Here is a 19,526-nt window from a genome sequence, read left to right as displayed (position 1 = left end):
AAGTCCAGTGTTTTAATGAAGTACATAATCAATGAGGGTTTTTACTTTTTATTTGGAAATAAGACATGGAAGTTGCAAAGATAGACTACTCCTATGTATTCCTCCAACTTTCCCCAATGATAATATCTCACACAACCATAGATTATCAAAACCAGAAAACTGACCAGGCACAGTGGTGTGCCACTTATAGTCCCAGCTACTCAGGTGGCTGAGGTGGGAAGATCCCTTGAGTTCAGGAGTTCAAGGCCAGCCTGGGCAACACAGTGAGACCCTGGCTCTATAAACAAAAATGGAAGAAAACCAGAAAACTGGTGTCATCAATTGTGTTTAAGGAAACCGAGGCTCCTTTAAAAGTTTGTTATAAAATTATAGATATCTCATAAATATTGAGGTGGAAAGATTCCCTGGAAGCAGCCTAGTCAGAAAGTGAAGACAGTGACATCCAGATAGGTTAATACTTCTGCCAGCACCATAATTACACTCTCTTGGCTGTACATTCCAATCACTCGAAGACAGGCAAAACTGAACCACTGGCTGGGCCCACCTTAAATCAGTGACATCAACCTCTGCAGGCAAGGCTCAAGTATCAGTACATTTTAAAACAACTTTGCCCACTGAAGGTTCACTTAATCAACTGATAAGGCCGGGTGCGGTGGCTCATGCCTGTAATTCCAGCGCTTTGGATGCCTGTAATCCCAGCATTTTGGGAGGCCGAGGCGGGCGGATCACCTGAGGTCAGGAGTTCAAGACCAGCCTAGCCAACATGGCAAAACCCCGTCTCTACAAAAATACAAAAATTAGCTGGACGTGGTGGTGTGTGCCTGTAATCCCAGCTACTGGGGAGGCTGAGGTGGGAGAATCGCTTGAACCCCGGAGGCGGAGGCTGCAGTGAGCCGAGATCGCGCCACTGCACTTCAGCTTGGGCGACAGAGTGAGACTCTATCTAAAAAAAAAGAAAAAAAAAATCAACTGATAACAGGCGATTAACAGGAGAAAAGGGATACATAACACCGGGGTAAAAGCAGGAGGATGATTACCCAGTAGCTTAATGGAGTACAGAAGATTTTATATCTTTTTTTCATAGGGGAAAGGGTAGATGAGAAATGTAGACATTTATTTTGAGGAGCAGCAAATGATTATTAGGAACAATGAATGGACAGAAATTAGTAAATAATTTTCTTTTGAGTAATCTTGTGAAAAAGTCCCTCCAGGAATGGCTGCATTTCTGAGTCTTTTTGAAATAGGATACGAGATTTCAGCGAGGGGAGGAATGCGATTGATTCTTCTACAAAGAGGCTTCTCTAGTCAGGAAAGGAAATTTCAGAGAGTACCTCCCTGCACTTGGGAAAAGTGGGAGCAACAAGTCAAGGTTGGGGGACCTGCATTATGAGGCAGCTTCTAAAGCCTCTGTCTTTGGGGTATCGCTTTCTGAGCGTCAAGAGTAAAACGTGATGCATTCCTTTCCTTCCAACCTAGATTCTAGTAGTTTAGATCAGTATCATTGTTTTTACTTCAAGGTTCAGGAAACGCTGGAAATTGCTAGCTAATATCACAGGAAAAAAAACAAAAAACACGAGGTTGACCTCACCCTACCCGCGGTAGGTAACCATGTATGAATAGAGACTCCCAGGCATAATCAAATTACCTCTGTCAAGTCCTCGCCCTAAGACTATTTTTGGAAACTAGGGATTTTCCAGATTACTGAAAGCCGTGGCGGTGTCAAAGGCCGGGCAGGAGTTTCGCAAGCGGAGCTATGAAAGCAGCCACTCTCGCGGTCATTCCTATGCCTCCGCCCTACTTCCCCATACTGGCAAAAACACGCTCCCCGGGGAGCTTTCATTTGGGAACCGATAGGGTCCACAGCCCTGTGTTCTTCAAATACTGTAAAGCAGCCCTCTCCAGATTCCTTGAGGGTCACTTTATATTACACATTCGTCCACACAGGACAACAAAGTCACCACTTCCACCCGCCAAAGCGCGCTCAGGTCGGCCGCCACTTCCCTTGGTACACGCGGAACGCAAGCCGCGCCGAGGCTAAAGGAAGAGGCCGGAATGCAGGGCGAAGGGGCGCAGAGATGCTAGCCAATGCTGCCACCTCTATTTTGGGTATAAGGGATCTTGTAAAGCTCCGTTATTCGTGTGGCTATCACAAACAAGGTGGTTTCGACCGGCCTTGGCTAGAGAAGGCCTCCTCAGCCTCTGAGGATCCCAAGGTCTGTCGCAGCACCCAACACTCCCCTCGCAGGCCCAGATGCCGAGGGCGGAGGCGCGGCCTGGAGGGACTAGTTGGCGCGCGGCTGCCCGGCGTGGTGACGTCAGGGCGGAAGCGCACGCGGCGTGAAGCGGCCCAGAACCCGGCGGTCACGGGAATATCCGTCGCGCCGAGAACGCTGGTTAGTCTTGTTTCGGGTTCCGGCTGCGTTGGGCTTGCGTGCGGCTCGCTAAGACTATGGCGTCCGGGCCTCATTCGACAGCTACTGCTGCCGCAGCCGCCTCATCGGCCGCCCCAAGCGCGGGCGGCTCCAGCTCCGGGACGACGACCACGACGACGACCACGACGGGAGGGATCCTGATCGGCGATCGCCTGTACTCGGAAGTTTCACTTACCATCGACCACTCTCTGATTCCGGAGGAGAGGCTCTCGCCCACCCCATCCATGCAGGATGGGCTCGACCTGCCCAGTGAGACGGACTTACGCATCCTGGGCTGCGAGCTCATCCAGGCCGCCGGCATTCTCCTCCGGCTGCCGCAGGTCAGTGCTCCGGCCCCGGGCCGGCCGGGCGCTCCTCTCCTCTCCTCCGTCCCCTACGCCGCATCTCAGTATCACCGTGCCCCGGGAGGGTGGGGACGGTTCCTTCAGGCTTTCCCGTTCGGGGCCCAGCCGCGGCCGGGGCGTGCCGGGGCGGGGGGCTGCGGAGGCGGAGGGAGGACTTGGCAGCGGGCTGTTCGCAGCGGCGGCGGCGGCGGGAGGGGAAAGGGAAGCGATCGGCGGCACAAAATGGCGGCGGCGCCTGGAGCGGGCCCGCCTGACCCCTGCGCTTCCGTTCTCCTCTCTTGTCTGCAGGTGGCGATGGCAACGGGGCAGGTGTTGTTTCATCGTTTTTTCTACTCCAAATCTTTCGTCAAACACAGTTTCGAGGTAAGCACAGCGGAGGCGGGTAAAAGGGATTTCTTCATCCGGAAATGGGCAGAGTAGGGGTAGTGTCAGCAGCCAGCTTTTCCAGAAAGGGAGTGGTTTAGTTTAGGCCTTTGTACCTACTTCTCACTCGCCAGGAAGTGGAAACCTTTAGAATGTGGTTCAAAATCGATCACGAGCCTAAGTGCCCTCTTAACGAAAAGTACAGTTTTCAACCAAATGCAGAACTCCTGTAAGATTGAGTTTGACTCTGGAACCAAAATTAAGATGAGTTAAACAACAAAAAGTATAGTACTAGCATAGCTGGTAGACTTACGGCATAGAGATGTCTTCTCTAATTTTACTAAAGGTTGTCCCAATTGTGTTCTAAATTTTATTCTTCAAAGTGAGTTTAATCTAACAATGGCTTTTGTGGCTCATGGGTTCTTTCAGATTGTTGCTATGGCTTGTATTAATCTTGCATCAAAAATCGAAGAAGCACCTAGAAGAATAAGAGATGTGATTAATGTATTCCACCACCTCCGCCAGTTAAGAGGAAAAAGGTAAGATTGGCATTATTGAACATAGTATCTCTTGCTACTGCTGTACCGTGCACCAGTCATCAAATCAAAACATCTTTCCTTTCAAGTGAATACGGATGCAAAAGAAAACGGACTTTAATTTAGGTGTTAAAGTTCATATAGGAACACTGATACTTAAAATAATTTGAAAAAAGAAACATAATTAACCGGTTATCTAAAGTTTGTAGAGGCAGTTGCATTTATGGACAATCCTAACAGTGCTGTGAAGCCAGGCCTGTGGCTTAAGATTAAACAAGAAAGGGAGTACATTTGGCTCAAGTGTGAGTGTATTCTGTAAGTTATTTTTCCTCTCCCCTCTCTGGAAGACTGAAGGCTGGAAGTTTAAACACTGTAGTTTAAGTTAATATTGTGGCAAAGTTCTGTGTAGATTATGTTTTTCTACTCGAAGTCCCAGTTAATTCTTTATCAATTGAGGTTGGCTTTTGTTAGAGTACTTCTCAACATTGAACTACGATAAATCGAATAATACCGGATCTGAAAGGACTGCAGGATGATAAAGTTTGAAGTTTGAAGTCAAAGGGATTAAACAGGTATTTTGTTTTGGTTAGATACAGTCTCAGTGAGTGGGTTAGAAAATTAACAAGTAAGATTGATTGGGTTGCATTTAGATAGGGCCATTTATTTGATGTTGTAAGAAAATACAGAGACTGAAATAGTATCTCCTAGGTGTTGTGGTAACATAATTTTATGTGGACCTATGTGTTCCTGTGAGGCAGTACCAAAAAGTTTGTTGCAGGACTTCCTGCATCTACAGGTGACTTCCAGTACATGCTGCAGAATGATATATTTGGTGTAGAATAGTTTTTGCATTCACTCTTTAAGGAATTGTAGTGATGTTAGACAAATTGTACTGAGTTTGAAAGGAAGTTATTAAAAGGATTATAAGTTGTTCTGGGGGTTGGGTATGTTGGTTAGTGCTGTTAGTATTCTATATGAGTAGTCCTTATTGGCTGAATCTGTAAGTTGGCAGTAATGGAACTATTCAGACAAGCAAATATTAAAGCAACTTTAAGATGACTAGTCTATTCTGTGAGTCTACAGACAGTTCTTTTTTAAAAAAAGAGTATCCTAGTCAAAAAGTCTGCAACAGTTTTCCTACATACTTTTTCTCCCCCATCTTTTCTCATTCACCTTAACTGTGTCCAGGGATAGAGTACTTTTTAAATTCTAAAATATCTTTTAGTTTGTTGATGAGTCCCTGGGAATTGGGAAGATTTCAAATTGGTCTTTGGTATGGTCTGAGGTTAAATCTGTATTTAGATACCTGGCTGATTCTTCAGGATGTTTAAAGTAATGACACTAATACAAGGCTCTATCTTTAGTCAAAGGTTTCTCTTTGCTTAAAGGAAATGGTTTTCTAGTATTCTTTGAACCATTGAGCCAACTATTATGTAATCACATGATTATCTTCTGTGGAATTTTCCTGTGAGACTAGTTTACTTCGTTGATGTTAGAATAGGTCTTAACTGTAAAAACCATGGAATTTAAAATAATATAATCTCACCTGATTGTTGTGTCTGATGTAACTTTGTTTTTTGGGTCATTATTACAGAGAAACTGATTTTGTTTCAATCTTAGAAGTCTGATTATAGCAAAATTTAAAAGGAGTTGTTAATTGCATGGAAGCCTTTTTTTAAAGCAGGATGTAAAAGTGTTTCTATGCATATTACAAGTTTACTCAAGCACGTAACTTGTATATGTTATTAACTTCAACTCTTTTTTCCCTTGCAACCGACTATACAGCGACCAGCTACATTTACCAAAGCCTGGGTGATGTGGAGTGGTACATAGAGATGAAGCTGTCGTCATGGCAACAGTGAGTGAAGTATCGAAAATCCCCAAGGAGAAGCCAGTGCTCTGAGAATAGGTCACTGGAATCGGGGACTAACAGGTTGGCCACTGGTGAACCATTTAGAAAAACTCCTGTTTCTTGTTATAAGCTTTTGTCTTTGCTGTCCAAGTTATTAGAACTATAGCTTTGTATTTATTTTTGCATAGGTTAATGTCATTAGAAAGTACTATCAGTATTATACATTGGTTAGGTAAAGCATATCACTTGTCTTAATGATGCTATTTGTTTTAATCTAGTTTATTCATAACTTTAAATTGTAGTGTGACTTTGACAATTACAGTGGAGATACATTATTCATGTTGCTTGTAGGTCATTGGTCTCTTCAGCCTGGCTACACATTGAGAATTAGCAGAGGAGCTTTTTAAAAAGTACCAGTGCTTAGTCCCCAACCTGGATTGTTTGGCCTATTCCTCCTTCAGTTTTTTGTGGTTCGATAATTATCTTTTAAGTTGACAATAAACAGCTAAATTTAGAGGGGGGATTGCTTTTTCATTGTTCTAGTTTCCAAATATTTACTTTTGAGATGCAGCGTATTAAAATTTTCAAAGACTGGTTTAACCATTCTCATTAGTAAATACAATGTATTTTCAGTGTATCCATAGATAATAAAAGTTGGATAGGTAAGAATTGGAAGGGTGTTAAGTGATGTCATTTAGTCTACCACCTTTCTACAGTATAATTCTGTGGCTCTACAAGGTGGCCTTCAGTTTGTTTAAATACCTATAAAGGATGTTTCTACTTTTAAGTAGGCATTACAAATTTTTGTATATTGCTTGGCAGTATGCCTCTTTGTAAACTACCAATCTGTTATAGTCTCTTGAAGACTTGGTTCCAATATTTCTCAGTCTTTGTAACACATAAATGAAACTAACCATGTTTGGACTTTGTAATTTTTGTTGTTGTTGAGTTATATGTCAATTACATAATCATGCTAAAGGAAAATAGCTCCTCTAACAAACCATAATAATAAACTTCTAATGACCAAAGACCAGGATTTTCTAAAGCTGAAAATAATTCTCGTATAAATCAGAAAAATTGGACAATAGAAACTTAAAGCAGAGATTGAGTTAGTTTGTGTGTTGATAATGAAAATTATTTTTGAGTTTTCTCTGAATAGATGAAGACTTCTTTTTTAAAGAGATTTTCAAATGCCACCTCCTCAAACTTTATTGGCAAAGAAAGTTTACCTGATTGGGGAGGAAGAAATTCTAGCAGGCCTTAATTTAATGTGCTTGTTGCAACAGAAGGTACTAATGTATACTTTGAGACTTTGTTTACTGCTGATTGATGGAGATATATTTTTTAAATTTATGATACAAAGTAATCTCTACCAGGTAGTTGTAAATTACGTGTGCACCGTTGATTTGTGAGGTAGAACCAATTCTGAACAAAATAAAGGTATCTGGTTTTAGGTTATATACCCACAAAGTTAACTTTGAAAATTGCAGGTAATAAATAGCAGGATTAAGCAAGAAGTTAAGTATATATTGAATTATAGTAAATAATGGGTTTGGTTTTCTTAAATCTATTTTGATGTCATTGGCATTTTGACACAAAAACAAAGAAAATGGCATCATTAAGTCTGATTTGGGACTAAATAGTAGCTATAATTCAAACATATTTAGCTTCTTTAGTGTAATTGCAAGAACAAATGAATTATATCACCATTTGAAGGCAGTTCTTAAAGCAGGTTATCTTAAGAGGTATAGATAATTTTTATTAACAAATGGAGAAAAATGAGACAACTATGTTTTCATAAAATTACATTTTACTAGGGATTTTGATGATACCGTCTTCTGTCTGGATTGCAAGGGGTTAAGAGTTAAAATGGTGTGTGCAGCTGTAACACTGGAGCTATTTTATCTCTTAATGACAGTTAAGGAGAGCCATTAGATAACACAGCCATAAGTTAAAAAGAGTCTGAAGTTGGTTTTACTTTTTTCCAAATTTCCTGTGATGATAAAACCTGATCATAGACCTTAAGATCTTTGGAATATGTTTATATGTATGTATGTATGTATGTATGTATGTATGTATGTATATATATGGAGAGAGAGATAGGTTGTTTTCATGAGAATTAAGTTTGACTTATTTTCCAAAGAGCAATTTGTAGCCTACTGTCCTGATAAAATGGATTCATCATTACACGTTAATATTAGAAAGCAGCTCAATGAGGCCAGCTGGTGGCCTCATTCCTCATAGGTGTGAGGAATGAAACCGAGGGAAGGCCATTTTAAGTAACAGCTGTCTTTTATCTTGTCAGCGCTGCCAGTTTTTGTTTAGTAAGCATTCCAGTTTCTGTAATAATTTTAAATGGAAGAAAGTAAGGAAAATGTATGATAACTGACTTTTTACTCTGATGTTACCATAGGGGTAATGAAGTTCATCGCAGATTGTTTTCTAACCTTCGGTGCATGTATTGAAATAGATTTTTGTTTTAAAAATATGAGATTACATTTTTCTGGATCTGGTGTGCATTGGGGTAGAGAGGATGACTGTCTTAAAAATAGATCGTGTATTCTGCCTAGAGCAAAGACTCTTAAGTCTTTTGGCTGAAAATGAACTGAGTATGGACAAAAATATTGAAGTATTCTACTTGTAAACTTACCGTATAATCAGTGTCTTGATAAAATAGTAGTTTTTGTTGGTTGAATCTAAGAATGTGTTGGACTTGGGTAAATTTCAGACATGACCAACAACAAAAAACAAAAGCCCAATTCCTTAACCTTTCCTGACTGAAACTTCTCAGGAAGAAACCAGTTTTGAATTGTATGACATAAATAAGATTGTCTTTTATTATAAGTTTTTAAACTATGTAATAAAACATTTGGGGATAACATCAGTTGAATGTGCTACTTTTAAAGCATTAAACCACTGACATAAGCCTTCTGTATTATAGAAACTTCTGAGTTACCAAAATTTAGTCTGGTACAGAGCCCTTGAATATGTTGTGGTTCCCTCATTATGGCCCTTCATTCCCTTCTGTGTTAATAGTAAAGCATGTTGCCTAATAACTACAACCCTGACCAAATTTGGGCCTGGATCTCATGGGTCACGTGGAGTTTTAAATACGATTTTTAATTTACTTGGGTAATTGAGCTGAATCTTTAGTTTTCAGATTACTTTTTTAAACAGATAGGCTCTTAGAACAAATTATTAAAAACATAATACCCCATTGGAGGGGAATCTGGATTAACTACCCACTGTTCCCACCCCCCCCAACTTTTGAAAAATTTTGGCCATATAGAATGCATGAAAAATCAGTATGATCTTATGAGGACTTTATAGTACTGTAAATCTTAGGAGCACTTTAGTTGTTTTGTTTGTTTGTTTGTTTTACCAGTCAAATAGCAGTGGGAGATTGTATACCAACTTTAGTGACACTGATATTAGTAAGTTCTGATAACCCACTACCATCGGACCAGCCTGGAGCACATTACTTTGGCCAGTGGAAAGTCTCTTGGAGAGACTTTGAGGTTTGTGATGACAAATCATGCTATCGTTAAAGTTAAATACATATATATACACACCTAGAATATAAGCAGAATGGAAAAGTTGGCAGGGATGAATTCAAGAACATTAGAGTGAATTTTTTTCATTACAGAATTGTTAGTTCCTTTAGGAACTTAGTCTCGTAGATGTATATATTTAATTAGCATAACTTGGACAGCACAAGATTAATGCTTTAACTTGTTTGCAGGAGTTTAAAAAGCTGGTTTCTGTTGCCAATAGTTGGTTGGAAGGGAAAATGGAGATGCCACAAATAAAATTTTTTGGATGTGCAAAACAGTTTTGATTTTATTTCTTACAAACTATAGGACTCCAAGCCCCCTGATCCTTGATCAGAACTACATTAACACCAAAAATCAAGTTATCAAAGCAGAGAGGAGGGTGCTAAAGGAGTTGGGATTTTGTGTTCATGTCAAGCATCCTCATAAGGTGAGTTGTAGAGTACAGAAATTGGGTTCGTAAGTATTAGGACTTTTCTAAAAATTTTATTTTATATGAATTTATGTTTCTATCTGAGTGTTAACCTTGGTTTTAAAAAGCATTCTTTTAAAGGTTCAGGCTTCATCGAAAAACATTCTTTTGGATGTTGAGATTTATCAGTAAAATGACAGTCAAAAATGTAGGTTCAAATCTTAAATCTTAATTGTGTGCTCATAGAGAAGTTATTTTTGTTTCTGTGGTTAAAGTCCCAGTTTTTCCACCTAGAAAACAGAGATGTAAAGTTCCTCATTCCAAGGAATAAATGTGTAGCTACAAAAGTATCTGGCACACTTATCATCATAGTAGAATGTTCTAAGTGTGTTGGCTGCTCACTGTTACCATTATTGGAAATTTGTTTCTCCCAACATCTCTTAGCTTTCATTATCAATATAAGCCATAGAGTGAGTTACCCGGGTCAGGACTACCTGGGTTAGAAATGTACCTTGGGAAATTAGGTGAAATAATCTAGCACGGTGCCCATCACATAGTAAAGTGCCAATGAAAAATATTCTTTTAATTGCCTTTTTTCCTGTACAATTTTGAAATATGCTTCTAAACATAATTTATATAAAATCTAGTCATGTAGCAGTTCACATTAGAATCTTATGTACATTTAAATTGGTCTGTATTATCGATGCACAATTAGAACTTGAGTCTAACATTTTCAATTACTTTTTTCATTGAACTCTACTCCGAAAGAACTACCAGTATACTGAATTGAGTTTTTTTCCCTTGTCCTTCAGATCATTGTTATGTATTTACAAGTCTTAGAATGTGAACGTAATCAAACCCTGGTTCAAACTGCCTGGTAAGTCACTTTTTTAGATTTCTTTCCTAGCCAGGAAAACAGAAGCAGAAATAAAGTAAGTTTCGTTTTCCCTTTCCAAAATAATGAGATAAGTTTGTTTGGGGCTTTTCGTTGTTTTTTTGTTTTGTTTTTTTAACCAAAAGGTAAATAATGCTTATTTCTGCTTCCTGTTTTCTTGGCTTGACTAATTACTTTTAATGGAGAACTCAATTTAACTTTGTTCTTTTTTCTACTCTTTAATTAAAGGGTAGTCCATGATGGTAAGTCATAGAACTCTGCCCTCTGCACTTCAGCCCATGACCTCAGGATGGCCTGATTGGCTACCCTGCTCTCCAGCCAATCCAGTGCAAGCTCTCATCCGAGATTCACTGAAGTGGTCCATATCCATCTGGCAGCATCTTCTAGTTCTGTCGGGGTGTCAAAAGGATTTGTATATTTGCTTCTAGAAGTAACTATTTGACATGCCTATGTATTTAATGTATACTTGTAACTATCAAAATGAATAGTTCATTTTTGATAGATTTGTTGTGCAGCCATTATGAATTAAATGGTTTATTAGGAGTTTGACTAAATTTTTATTTTTAGTGTGTATAGCATGAATACTACCAAAGGAGACGACAAACTTGCAGCTTAAAATGGGCACCAGTTCCCACACTGGCTTAATTTATATAACTGCTTGGCTGTATTGCGGGTAATAATATTAGAAGCAAGAAGCACTTCATTTTTAAAAGAGATGTTACTATAATATTGCTTAAATGCTTTAGCACTTGGACTTCTTGAGATGCAGATGTGTGATTTGGAGTGCTGGCTTATTTAAAGGTCAAGCCAAGGAGTTTGTGGTTCAGCCACAACTACTGTTTCCTAAGACTATTGATGTGAAGGACTTAGTGAAGTAATTTTTATATTCTGGGCTTCCCAGCAAGATGTCCTTTTTATGACTGCCATGCTTCTTTTGGACTCAGTAAATATTTGTAATGTTAGAAAAGTCTCATTATTTTTATAAAATGCATGACATTTTAAGTATGTGTTGCATAAAATGGATTATAGCAGTTCTCATGGTTTAGGATTTTTAAGAAATAGTCCATTTAATTTCAGCTTAACCTTTTAAATGATCTGTAAAATTTCTTTGATAGTTTAGGAATGTTGTGGGGAGGGTTCATTAATAAAAGTTCAGCAATTTTTTAACTGAAATAGTTTATCTCTTTTACCTAGTCACAAAAAAGGTATGTAAACAAGGCCATTATATGTGTTTATTGCTCTTTATTTCCCTATCTAGATTTTCTAAGTATCTTAGCTTTCTTAATATAAGTTTAACTTGGTACTTACTGAAAATGCCTTTTTACCCCTGTTAACGGTATTTTGAGCTTTTGAAAAGAACTTGGTTGACACTGCTTTTATTGTGGATAAAGGAGAGATGGTCAGTAATTAATGGCTTGAAGTATTATTGGAGTGGTTTATCATTTCTGAAACTAATCGTGTCAGAATTGACTTTGAAAAGCATTGCTTTTTACAGAAATATATTAACTTTTTAGGAGTAATTTCTAGTTTGGATTGTAATATGAAATAATTTAAAAGGGCTTCGCTCATATATAGGAAAATCGCATATGGTCCTAGTATTAAATTCTTATTGCTTACTGATTTTTTTGAGTTAAGAGTTGTTATATGCTAGAATATGAGGATGTGAATATAAATAAGAGAAGAAAAAAGAATAAAGTAGATTGAGTCTCCAATTTTATGTAAGCTTCAGAAGAACTGGTTTGTTTACATGCAAGCTTATAGTTGAAATATTTTTCAGGAATTACATGAATGACAGTCTTCGAACCAATGTGTTTGTTCGATTTCAACCAGAGACTATAGCATGTGCTTGCATCTACCTTGCAGCTAGAGCACTTCAGGTAGGTGTATATTTCCCATTTTGTTCTGTAGGATAAATCACACAAATTTTCGGTGGTTCCAATACAGATTTAGCAAAAATTTAATTTAAAACATTCTGTTCTTATGGTTTAGATTCCGTTGCCAACTCGTCCCCATTGGTTTCTTCTTTTTGGTACTACAGAAGAGGAAATCCAGGAAATCTGCATAGAAACACTTAGGCTTTATACCAGAAAAAAGGTATTCTCTATTTACTCGTTTGTGCCAACATGCTAAGAGTCCAAGCTACTCTAAGGAAGAAATACTAACTTTTTTTTCCTCCAACAGCCAAACTATGAATTACTGGAAAAAGAAGTAGAAAAAAGAAAAGTAGCCTTACAAGAAGCCAAATTAAAAGCAAAGGGATTGAATCCGGATGGAACTCCAGCCCTTTCAACCCTGGGTGGATTTTCTCCAGCCTCCAAGCCATGTAAGATGTATTTAGAATTAAAATGACTTGGGGGCACTGAAAGTGTGTCTTTATTAGAGAGCTTTTACATTTGAAAGTTGCATAGAGAAAAATGATGTTAGGAAACTGCTGCTATGTTCTCTCATGGCAGTCAACCAACATGGAAGCGGAAGCATGGTACTTTGAGTTACATTTAGAAACAACTTTTGGCCCTCTGTTAAATCCAGTAGTTAACATGTTGTTATTATATCTTTTAAAAGCATCACCAAGAGAAGTAAAAGCTGAAGAGAAATCACCAATCTCCATTAATGTGAAGACAGTCAAAAAAGAACCTGAGGATAGACAACAGGCTTCCAAAAGCCCTTACAATGGGTGAGTATACTTGGGCTGGAAAACTGGCTTGAGGAATCTTTTATGTGTTTACTTTTTAACACACTAAGTTTGTAACTAATATGTCATGATTTTTTGAAGTGTAAGAAAAGACAGCAAGAGAAGTAGAAATAGCAGAAGTGCAAGTCGATCGAGGTCAAGAACACGATCACGTTCTAGATCACATACTCCAAGAAGACAGTAAGTAAATGTTTTCTTAGGGAAGCAGTCTTATTTGGAGTTTTTAAAGGTTATTGCTTTTTCTTTAAAAATTGAACATAGATTATTTTCAAAGTTAGGTTAGAATTAGGCTTTTAGTATGAGGCAAATTATGAGAAATGAGTTTGGAGATGTTCTGGACATACAGTATCTTAATGGCATTCTGTTATATTTTCTCCCATGTTTTTTGGAGAAGTGTAGGAGCTACCCACAAAGTGCTTGAGGGCCATAGTATTGTTCATAATGTGAAAACTTCTTTTTTTTTTTTTAATTTCAGTTAGAAAATGTGTTTCATTAACCCCTTATTAATAACCAATAATCAAATTAACCAGTCAATGAATCTTCTTTAGTTAGGCCTGTAATTAGATTGTTAGCTCTTCGTGGCTCTTCAATGTCTTTTGAACATGTGGGAGATACTTAATAAAAAGCATAGCTCTAGGACACTATAAAAATTGCTAATTACTCCCCTTGGAATAAAGACATAAGAACATTTGCTTAAGATTTAATATGTTATATATAGGCTTGGGCATACAGCAGTGAGGGGTGGGGAGATTTTGAAAAGTTCTGGTTTGTCATTTATGTAGCTGGTAGTTTTGTTTTGAACCTGTTATGAGCAACCACCGGAATAATCTGTTCCCCATAGAAACTGAACCTAAACTTCAAATTTTTATTATCTAAGCTATAATAATAGGCGGAGTCGATCTGGAACATACAGCTCGAGATCAAGAAGCAGGTCCCGCAGTCACAGTGAAAGCCCTCGAAGACATCATAATCATGGTTCTCCTCACCTTAAGGCCAAGCATACCAGAGATGATTTAAAAAGTTCAAACAGACATGGTCATAAAAGGAAAAAATCTCGTTCTCGATCTCAGAGCAAGTCTCGGGATCACTCAGATGCAGCCAAGAAACACAGGCATGAAAGGGGACATCATAGGGACAGGCGTGAACGATCTCGCTCCTTTGAGAGGTCCCATAAAAGCAAGCACCATGGTGGCAGTCGCTCAGGACATGGCAGGCACAGGCGCTGACTTTCTCTTCCTTTGAGCCTGCATCAGTTCTTGGTTTTGCCTATCTACAGTGTGATGTATGGACTCAATCAAAAACATTAAACGCAAACTGATTAGGATTTGATTTCTTGAAACCCTCTAGGTCTCTAGAACACTGAGGACAGTTTCTTTTGAAAAGAACTATGTTAATTTTTTTGCACATTAAAATGCCCTAGCAGTATCTAATTAAAAACCATGGTCAGGTTCAATTGTACTTTATTATAGTTGTGTATTGTTTATTGCTATAAGAACTGGAGCGTGAATTCTGTAAAAATGTATCTTATTTTTATACAGATAAAATTGCAGACACTGTTCTATTTAAGTGGTTATTTGTTTAAATGATGGTGAATACTTTCTTAACACTGGTTTGTCTGCATGTGTAAAGATTTTTACAAGGAAATAAAATACAAATCTTGTTTTTTCTAAACTGCTTCAAATACCTTATTTAAATAAATTATTAAAAAGGAAAATTTTAATAGCAAAATGGCTGTACTGGTTTTCTGACAAACTTATTCTTTCCTCCATTAGATGGTAGTTTGAGATTATTAAAATGCAATTCTTAACTGCATTGTGAGCTATTGTAAGTCTTCACTGTATATATGGAAAAAGTAAATGGGAGTCGCCCAACAATGTGACATTAAATGTTATATTTTAGCACTAAACCAAAAAACCTGATTTGCTTTTGAATGGTGTCATAAGGTAATTTTGAGTCAGATTTAAGTACTATTTCTGAAATGAGGTACCCTATTGAATGAACCAAAACTTAGTAACTATTGAGCTTTAACAGTTCTGTATAATTTAGGCATTTAATGTTACGATTTTTACGTAGGCTAGGAGAAAATGTGAGGCCCCTGAACTTGAGTGGTTGATAGAATACAAGCTGATCACAAAGAAGTGAAGTTTTGATGAAAAAGCCGGAATTTCTATCCAGATGAATGTTTTCAAGTTACTCACATTTACTATTTTTTTCAACATTTTGGAAATCAGTTTACAGAGTCAAAATGTTGCATCGCTTTATAATTACACTAAGGTCTCCATTACATTTATTTTACCTACTTTAATTGTCCACTAGACTTGGCTCCAAGTGATTTGTTGCTGTTTCAAGAAATAAAATACACCCACAAAGAGGAAGATGTATTACTGCTAAGGATATTTTTAAAAATAAAGTTACAGCTTCTGAAGAGGAGATTCCAAAGACTTAAAATGTGTTCACCAATGGCAGGTGGTGGAGGCTGGAAAAAATAGCTTCACAAGGCAACTACTTTGAAGGAGATTAAGATTCATTAGGATATAAAAGTGTTGGGTGTGCTACTTAAATCAGTTATAGTTCTAACTATAAAGACTAACCAGAAACTAACAAGACCCAGCAAAAGTTAGCCACTTCATGCTTGAAAGAGGGTAGATAGTTCATTAAGACTTCTTTCTGCCTGATTTGTAATACACATTGCTGAATTATAAATAGATATTTCTGAAAAGCTAACTGCTTCTAAATGCTGAACAGTTTGCTTCCCCTACAAGATAGACATTGAAGAAAGGCAAAGGCAAATGTCAGCAAAGGCCCTGTTAGCAAATTAATGTTGATTTTTTTTTTTAACTTTTTTTTTTTTTTTTTTAGAGACGAGGTCTTGCTACGTTGCCCAGGTCGGTCACGAACTCCTGGCCTCAAGTGATCCTCCCACCTCAGCCTCCCAAGTATTAAATTCTTAATAGTGTTGAAATTACTTATGTCCCTAATCTTTGCTTGGAAATAGGAGTGCTGTGGGTGAGGGTTGTTTGTGAAGATGGGGAGTTGTGGAGGATACACCTGCATGTGGAATGAGGTTTGTATGTTAAAGGTGTTTTTAGAGGTGGCTTTGTGGGCTAGGCAAAGATCTTTTTCAGGGTCTTGATTTTTATCTTATTGTCTGTTACTGAATCCGTTTTCTAAGTTGTCAGGATGTTAACCTCATGCCACTCTATGGCTATTTAAACACTTTCTCTAGAAGTAATACTCATTTTCAAACTTATTTTGAGAAACAAAGTTGTGCAATACCAATAATACCTGTTTATTAACTCCAAAATAGCAAAACTTAATCTGTACCCCACCAGTTCACCACTCCACCTCCCACCCTTGCTATTGGGAAGAAAATCCCATACAAGTAAAGTTTGTTCCCAAGTGTCTCAGTCCACAAGGTTGAGGATTTTTAAAACATAACCATATAGCTTTATTGTAAGAGTTAAAAGTAATGCCATACTACCCCTGTCAGTATCCAGAGAGCCCTCATCTCTAATTTGTTTTAACTGATTTGTTCAAAGTCCAAATATGTTGCATCGGCTTTAACCACAGGCCTCTCCATATTTCTTACTTGAAGAAATTGGGTCATGTCCTGAAGAATTTTTTGTCTCCTGGGTTTGTTCATTGTAACTCTGTGCTGTCACTGAACACATTTTTCTGTCCACTGTGTGGTAAAGTGGTAGATCTTGAGGCTTGATCAGATTTAGGTTTAATTTTTTTACTTGTCTGGAATTAGAAGCCTGGACACCCAGACTGTTATTTTAGAACTGAAAACTAGGTTGCTGCCTCATCCACCAGGTATTTTACTGAGTTCTCAGTTCTTATCCATTGGTGCTTGTACCTCACTGGCTTTTGTATCTGTTTTTCCCTCTGTTCTCTGTCTCATGTTTTGGTTGGCCCATTACAGCAATGAAAATGTTATTTGTCCTAATGATCCTGATACTTTTTTTCTTTAAATGACCCACAAATTAAATCCCGTTTTGGTTTTTTTTTTTTTTTTTTTTTTTTTTTGAGATGAAGTCTCGCTCTGTCTCCCAGGCTGGAGTGCAGTGGCACGATCTCGGGTTACTGCAAGCTCCCACTCCCAGGTTCATGCCATTCTCCTGCCTCAGCCTCCTGAGTAGCTGGGAATACAGGCGCCTGCCACCACGCCCTGGCTAATTTTTTTGTGTTTTTAGTAGAGACGGGGTTTCACCTATGTTAGCCAGGATGGCCTCGATCTCCTTACCTTGTGATCCACCTGCCTTGCCTCCCAAAGGGCTGGGATTACAGGCATGAGCCACCGCGCCCGGCAAAATCCTGATTTTTAGTACAAGTCCTTTCATGTTATAGAACATTACATTTGTCCTTTGCAGCTGGTATCTTTAGTTTAAAGACCAGTGAAATTCTTAACCATGTTCCCATTTTAAAACAAAGCGAACATAAAAATGACTAATTCTTAGAACTGAAGTTCTAGGTTTTGCTTTAATAGCTTTTAAGTATTGCCACTTATAACCCCATTATTAACACCACAGTCTGCATCAAAAGCTTACTTAAAACATTTAGTTTTCATGAGAGTTTCCAAAAATAATATCATAACAATCATTTGTTCTAAGAGCCATTTCTTAACTCATCATGAACTGTAATAGATTATGAAGATAAGTTTCAAAATTTACATACCAGATTTTTTAAAATGAAGTTAAAAGCATGGACATATTGAGGGTCTTATGCATGGGCATACTGAAGGGTTTGGAGAGACAGAATGTGCATGAGGTTTGAGAAGGGGAGCATCACTTCCCTATGTGGAAATAGGAACGGAGCAGCGTTCATTGTGTGGGCCTTGAGCCCCTCATCCCTTTCACTCTAAGGCTGGAAGCCACAGCCTGATGTTCTAACCATTTGAACACTTAACATTTGTTCAAAGCCTGGCTTTGTAATCATTTGAACATTCCATTACATGGAAGGAACATGGACTTCATGTCAGCTCTGCATTTTAAATCATTCCTCCACAGTGACTTGACAAGTTATTTTACCTCTTGTCTACTGGCCCTTACAACATTTTGTGTAGTATATGTGTTGGGCAAATAGGATTTATTTTTACCATTGCAATCCAGACTTCATATTGGAACGCACTCAAATATTCAGAAGTTTGAATTCTACCACTCTCAAACACAGTTCAAAAGATAGCTGTTTGAGAATGCTTCTTAACTAATACTAGTACAATATCTTCAATAATGTATGTACCTTATAGAAAATCTTGAACAGTACAAGATTTTCATAATTAAGGCATGCAAAACTGCTTGGGCTCTTTGATTCCAGGTGTCCTCTTCTCCCTTCTGCTTTTGCCATCTATGTTCAATATAATTCTAACCCAGTCTAAGTATGGAGAAAATTCCTACCCTGCCTGCTTTTATAGCTCATCAAATTTCCCTGTATCAGCTATCACTTTTCTGGTAGGTGTAGTCTGATTTCTGTCTGTCATGCCTTTGCCACAATCCTTTCTTTGAAGAGTAGGTAAAATGATCTATTTAAAGTGTTAATCACATTGCTCTAATATATAAAGCCTCCAGTGGTTTCCCATATCACTCTGTAAAATGCCCCTTGCCAGCCTCTCCCATCAACCTCGCTTTTTCTGTTCTTGTATATGCACATCTCTTCCTGAGCCTTTATTGCCATCCTCATGTGGGGATGTTTCTGTCTCAGAGATAGTCTTTATTCAGGTCCCACTCTGCAGTCCTCTCCAGAGGGGCTGCTTTCACCACCCCTTCTAAGTAAGCCTCTCTAAACACCTCTATCATATTCTATCCCTTAGCCAGCACTAATTTTTTCATAATGCTTACCACTAACTGAAATTTACTTTATCATTTAATCTCTTCCTCATTAGAATGTAAGCTCGTAAGGGAGGGGCAGCTCTGTAGTTTATTCATTATTGTATGTCCCTCACCTAATCCTATGAGTGTCTGGCCCATATTAGGGTATGTAATAAATATTACTTGAGGAATGAATGAATTTAACATACTACCAATTCTCTGAGTGACTCTTTTTAAAGCCTTCATCATCATTCACACTTTCTTGTCTTTCATATGGGCATGTCCAATCACCCTTCCATGAATATCTGTACCTGTTACAAAGAGAGGACTAGGTTCCTGGAGTTCATAGATGTAAACAACATCCTAGGGGTAGCAAACTGGTGGGCCCTGAGCCAAATCCTGGCCTGCACATGTATTTTGTTTGAGTTGTACAATGTTTGTTATAAATGAACTGGCTGATAATATTTTTTAATTGGAAATGTTTACATTAAAAACCTAGACTTCTAGCTGCTCTTAAAAAATAAAAATACGGCTGGGCACTGTGGCTTATGCCTGTAATCCTAACACTTTGGGAGGCTGAGGTGGGCGGATCACTTGAGGTCAGGAGTTCCAAACTAGCCTGGTCAACATGGCGAAACCTCA

General features: G+C 38.3%; 1 protein-coding gene across 8 annotated transcripts, besides 6 other annotated features; it reads left to right on the top strand.

Annotated features, from left to right (window-relative positions):
• Window positions 1,536-1,595: an enhancer, noted in NCBI's record as "active region_20741". NCBI's record gives its function as "activates an Ori minimal core promoter by ATAC-STARR-seq in GM12878 lymphoblastoid cells {active_cell/tissue: GM12878}" and the evidence as "EXISTENCE:reporter gene assay evidence [ECO:0000049][PMID:35858748]".
• Window positions 1,616-1,665: an enhancer, noted in NCBI's record as "active region_20740". NCBI's record gives its function as "activates an Ori minimal core promoter by ATAC-STARR-seq in GM12878 lymphoblastoid cells {active_cell/tissue: GM12878}" and the evidence as "EXISTENCE:reporter gene assay evidence [ECO:0000049][PMID:35858748]".
• Window positions 1,753-2,482: an enhancer, noted in NCBI's record as "NANOG-H3K27ac-H3K4me1 hESC enhancer chr3:156877851-156878580 (GRCh37/hg19 assembly coordinates)". NCBI's record gives its function as "activates a minimal SCP1, AML or CMV promoter by ChIP-STARR-seq in naive H9 embryonic stem cells {active_cell/tissue: H9 hESC(naive)}" and the evidence as "EXISTENCE:reporter gene assay evidence [ECO:0000049][PMID:30033119]".
• On the top strand, window positions 2,397-19,423 carry CCNL1 (cyclin L1). Of its 8 annotated transcripts, none has more exons than NM_001308185.2 (11): window positions 2,397-2,752; window positions 3,065-3,139; window positions 3,569-3,678; window positions 9,388-9,508; window positions 10,303-10,367; window positions 12,163-12,262; window positions 12,375-12,479; window positions 12,567-12,708; window positions 12,948-13,059; window positions 13,159-13,257; window positions 15,937-19,423. In NM_001308185.2, the coding sequence occupies exons 1-11, from the start codon at window positions 2,450-2,452 to the stop codon at window positions 15,989-15,991; spliced, it is 1,287 nt and encodes a 428-aa protein (NP_001295114.1). In that variant the 5' UTR covers window positions 2,397-2,449; the 3' UTR covers window positions 15,992-19,423. The 8 variants fall into 8 exon arrangements, with proteins under 8 accessions (NP_001295114.1, NP_064703.1, XP_006713773.1 ...); NM_020307.4 differs by lacking the exon at window positions 15,937-19,423 and adding an exon at window positions 13,955-14,991; XM_006713710.5 differs by lacking the exons at window positions 13,159-13,257; window positions 15,937-19,423 and adding an exon at window positions 13,955-14,991.
• Window positions 2,766-2,975: a silencer, noted in NCBI's record as "silent region_14845". NCBI's record gives its function as "represses an Ori minimal core promoter by ATAC-STARR-seq in GM12878 lymphoblastoid cells {active_cell/tissue: GM12878}" and the evidence as "EXISTENCE:reporter gene assay evidence [ECO:0000049][PMID:35858748]".
• Window positions 3,116-3,185: an enhancer, noted in NCBI's record as "active region_20739". NCBI's record gives its function as "activates an Ori minimal core promoter by ATAC-STARR-seq in GM12878 lymphoblastoid cells {active_cell/tissue: GM12878}" and the evidence as "EXISTENCE:reporter gene assay evidence [ECO:0000049][PMID:35858748]".
• Window positions 13,778-13,927: a silencer, noted in NCBI's record as "silent region_14844". NCBI's record gives its function as "represses an Ori minimal core promoter by ATAC-STARR-seq in GM12878 lymphoblastoid cells {active_cell/tissue: GM12878}" and the evidence as "EXISTENCE:reporter gene assay evidence [ECO:0000049][PMID:35858748]".
• Window positions 19,424-19,526: the final 103 nt, after the last annotated feature.

This window comes from Homo sapiens, chromosome 3 (assembly GCF_000001405.40).
Source record: "Homo sapiens chromosome 3, GRCh38.p14 Primary Assembly".
Taxonomy (NCBI): Eukaryota; Metazoa; Chordata; class Mammalia; order Primates; family Hominidae; genus Homo; species Homo sapiens.
Note: the sequence above shows the minus strand (reverse complement) of the source record. Positions and strands in the feature narration are given on the sequence as shown.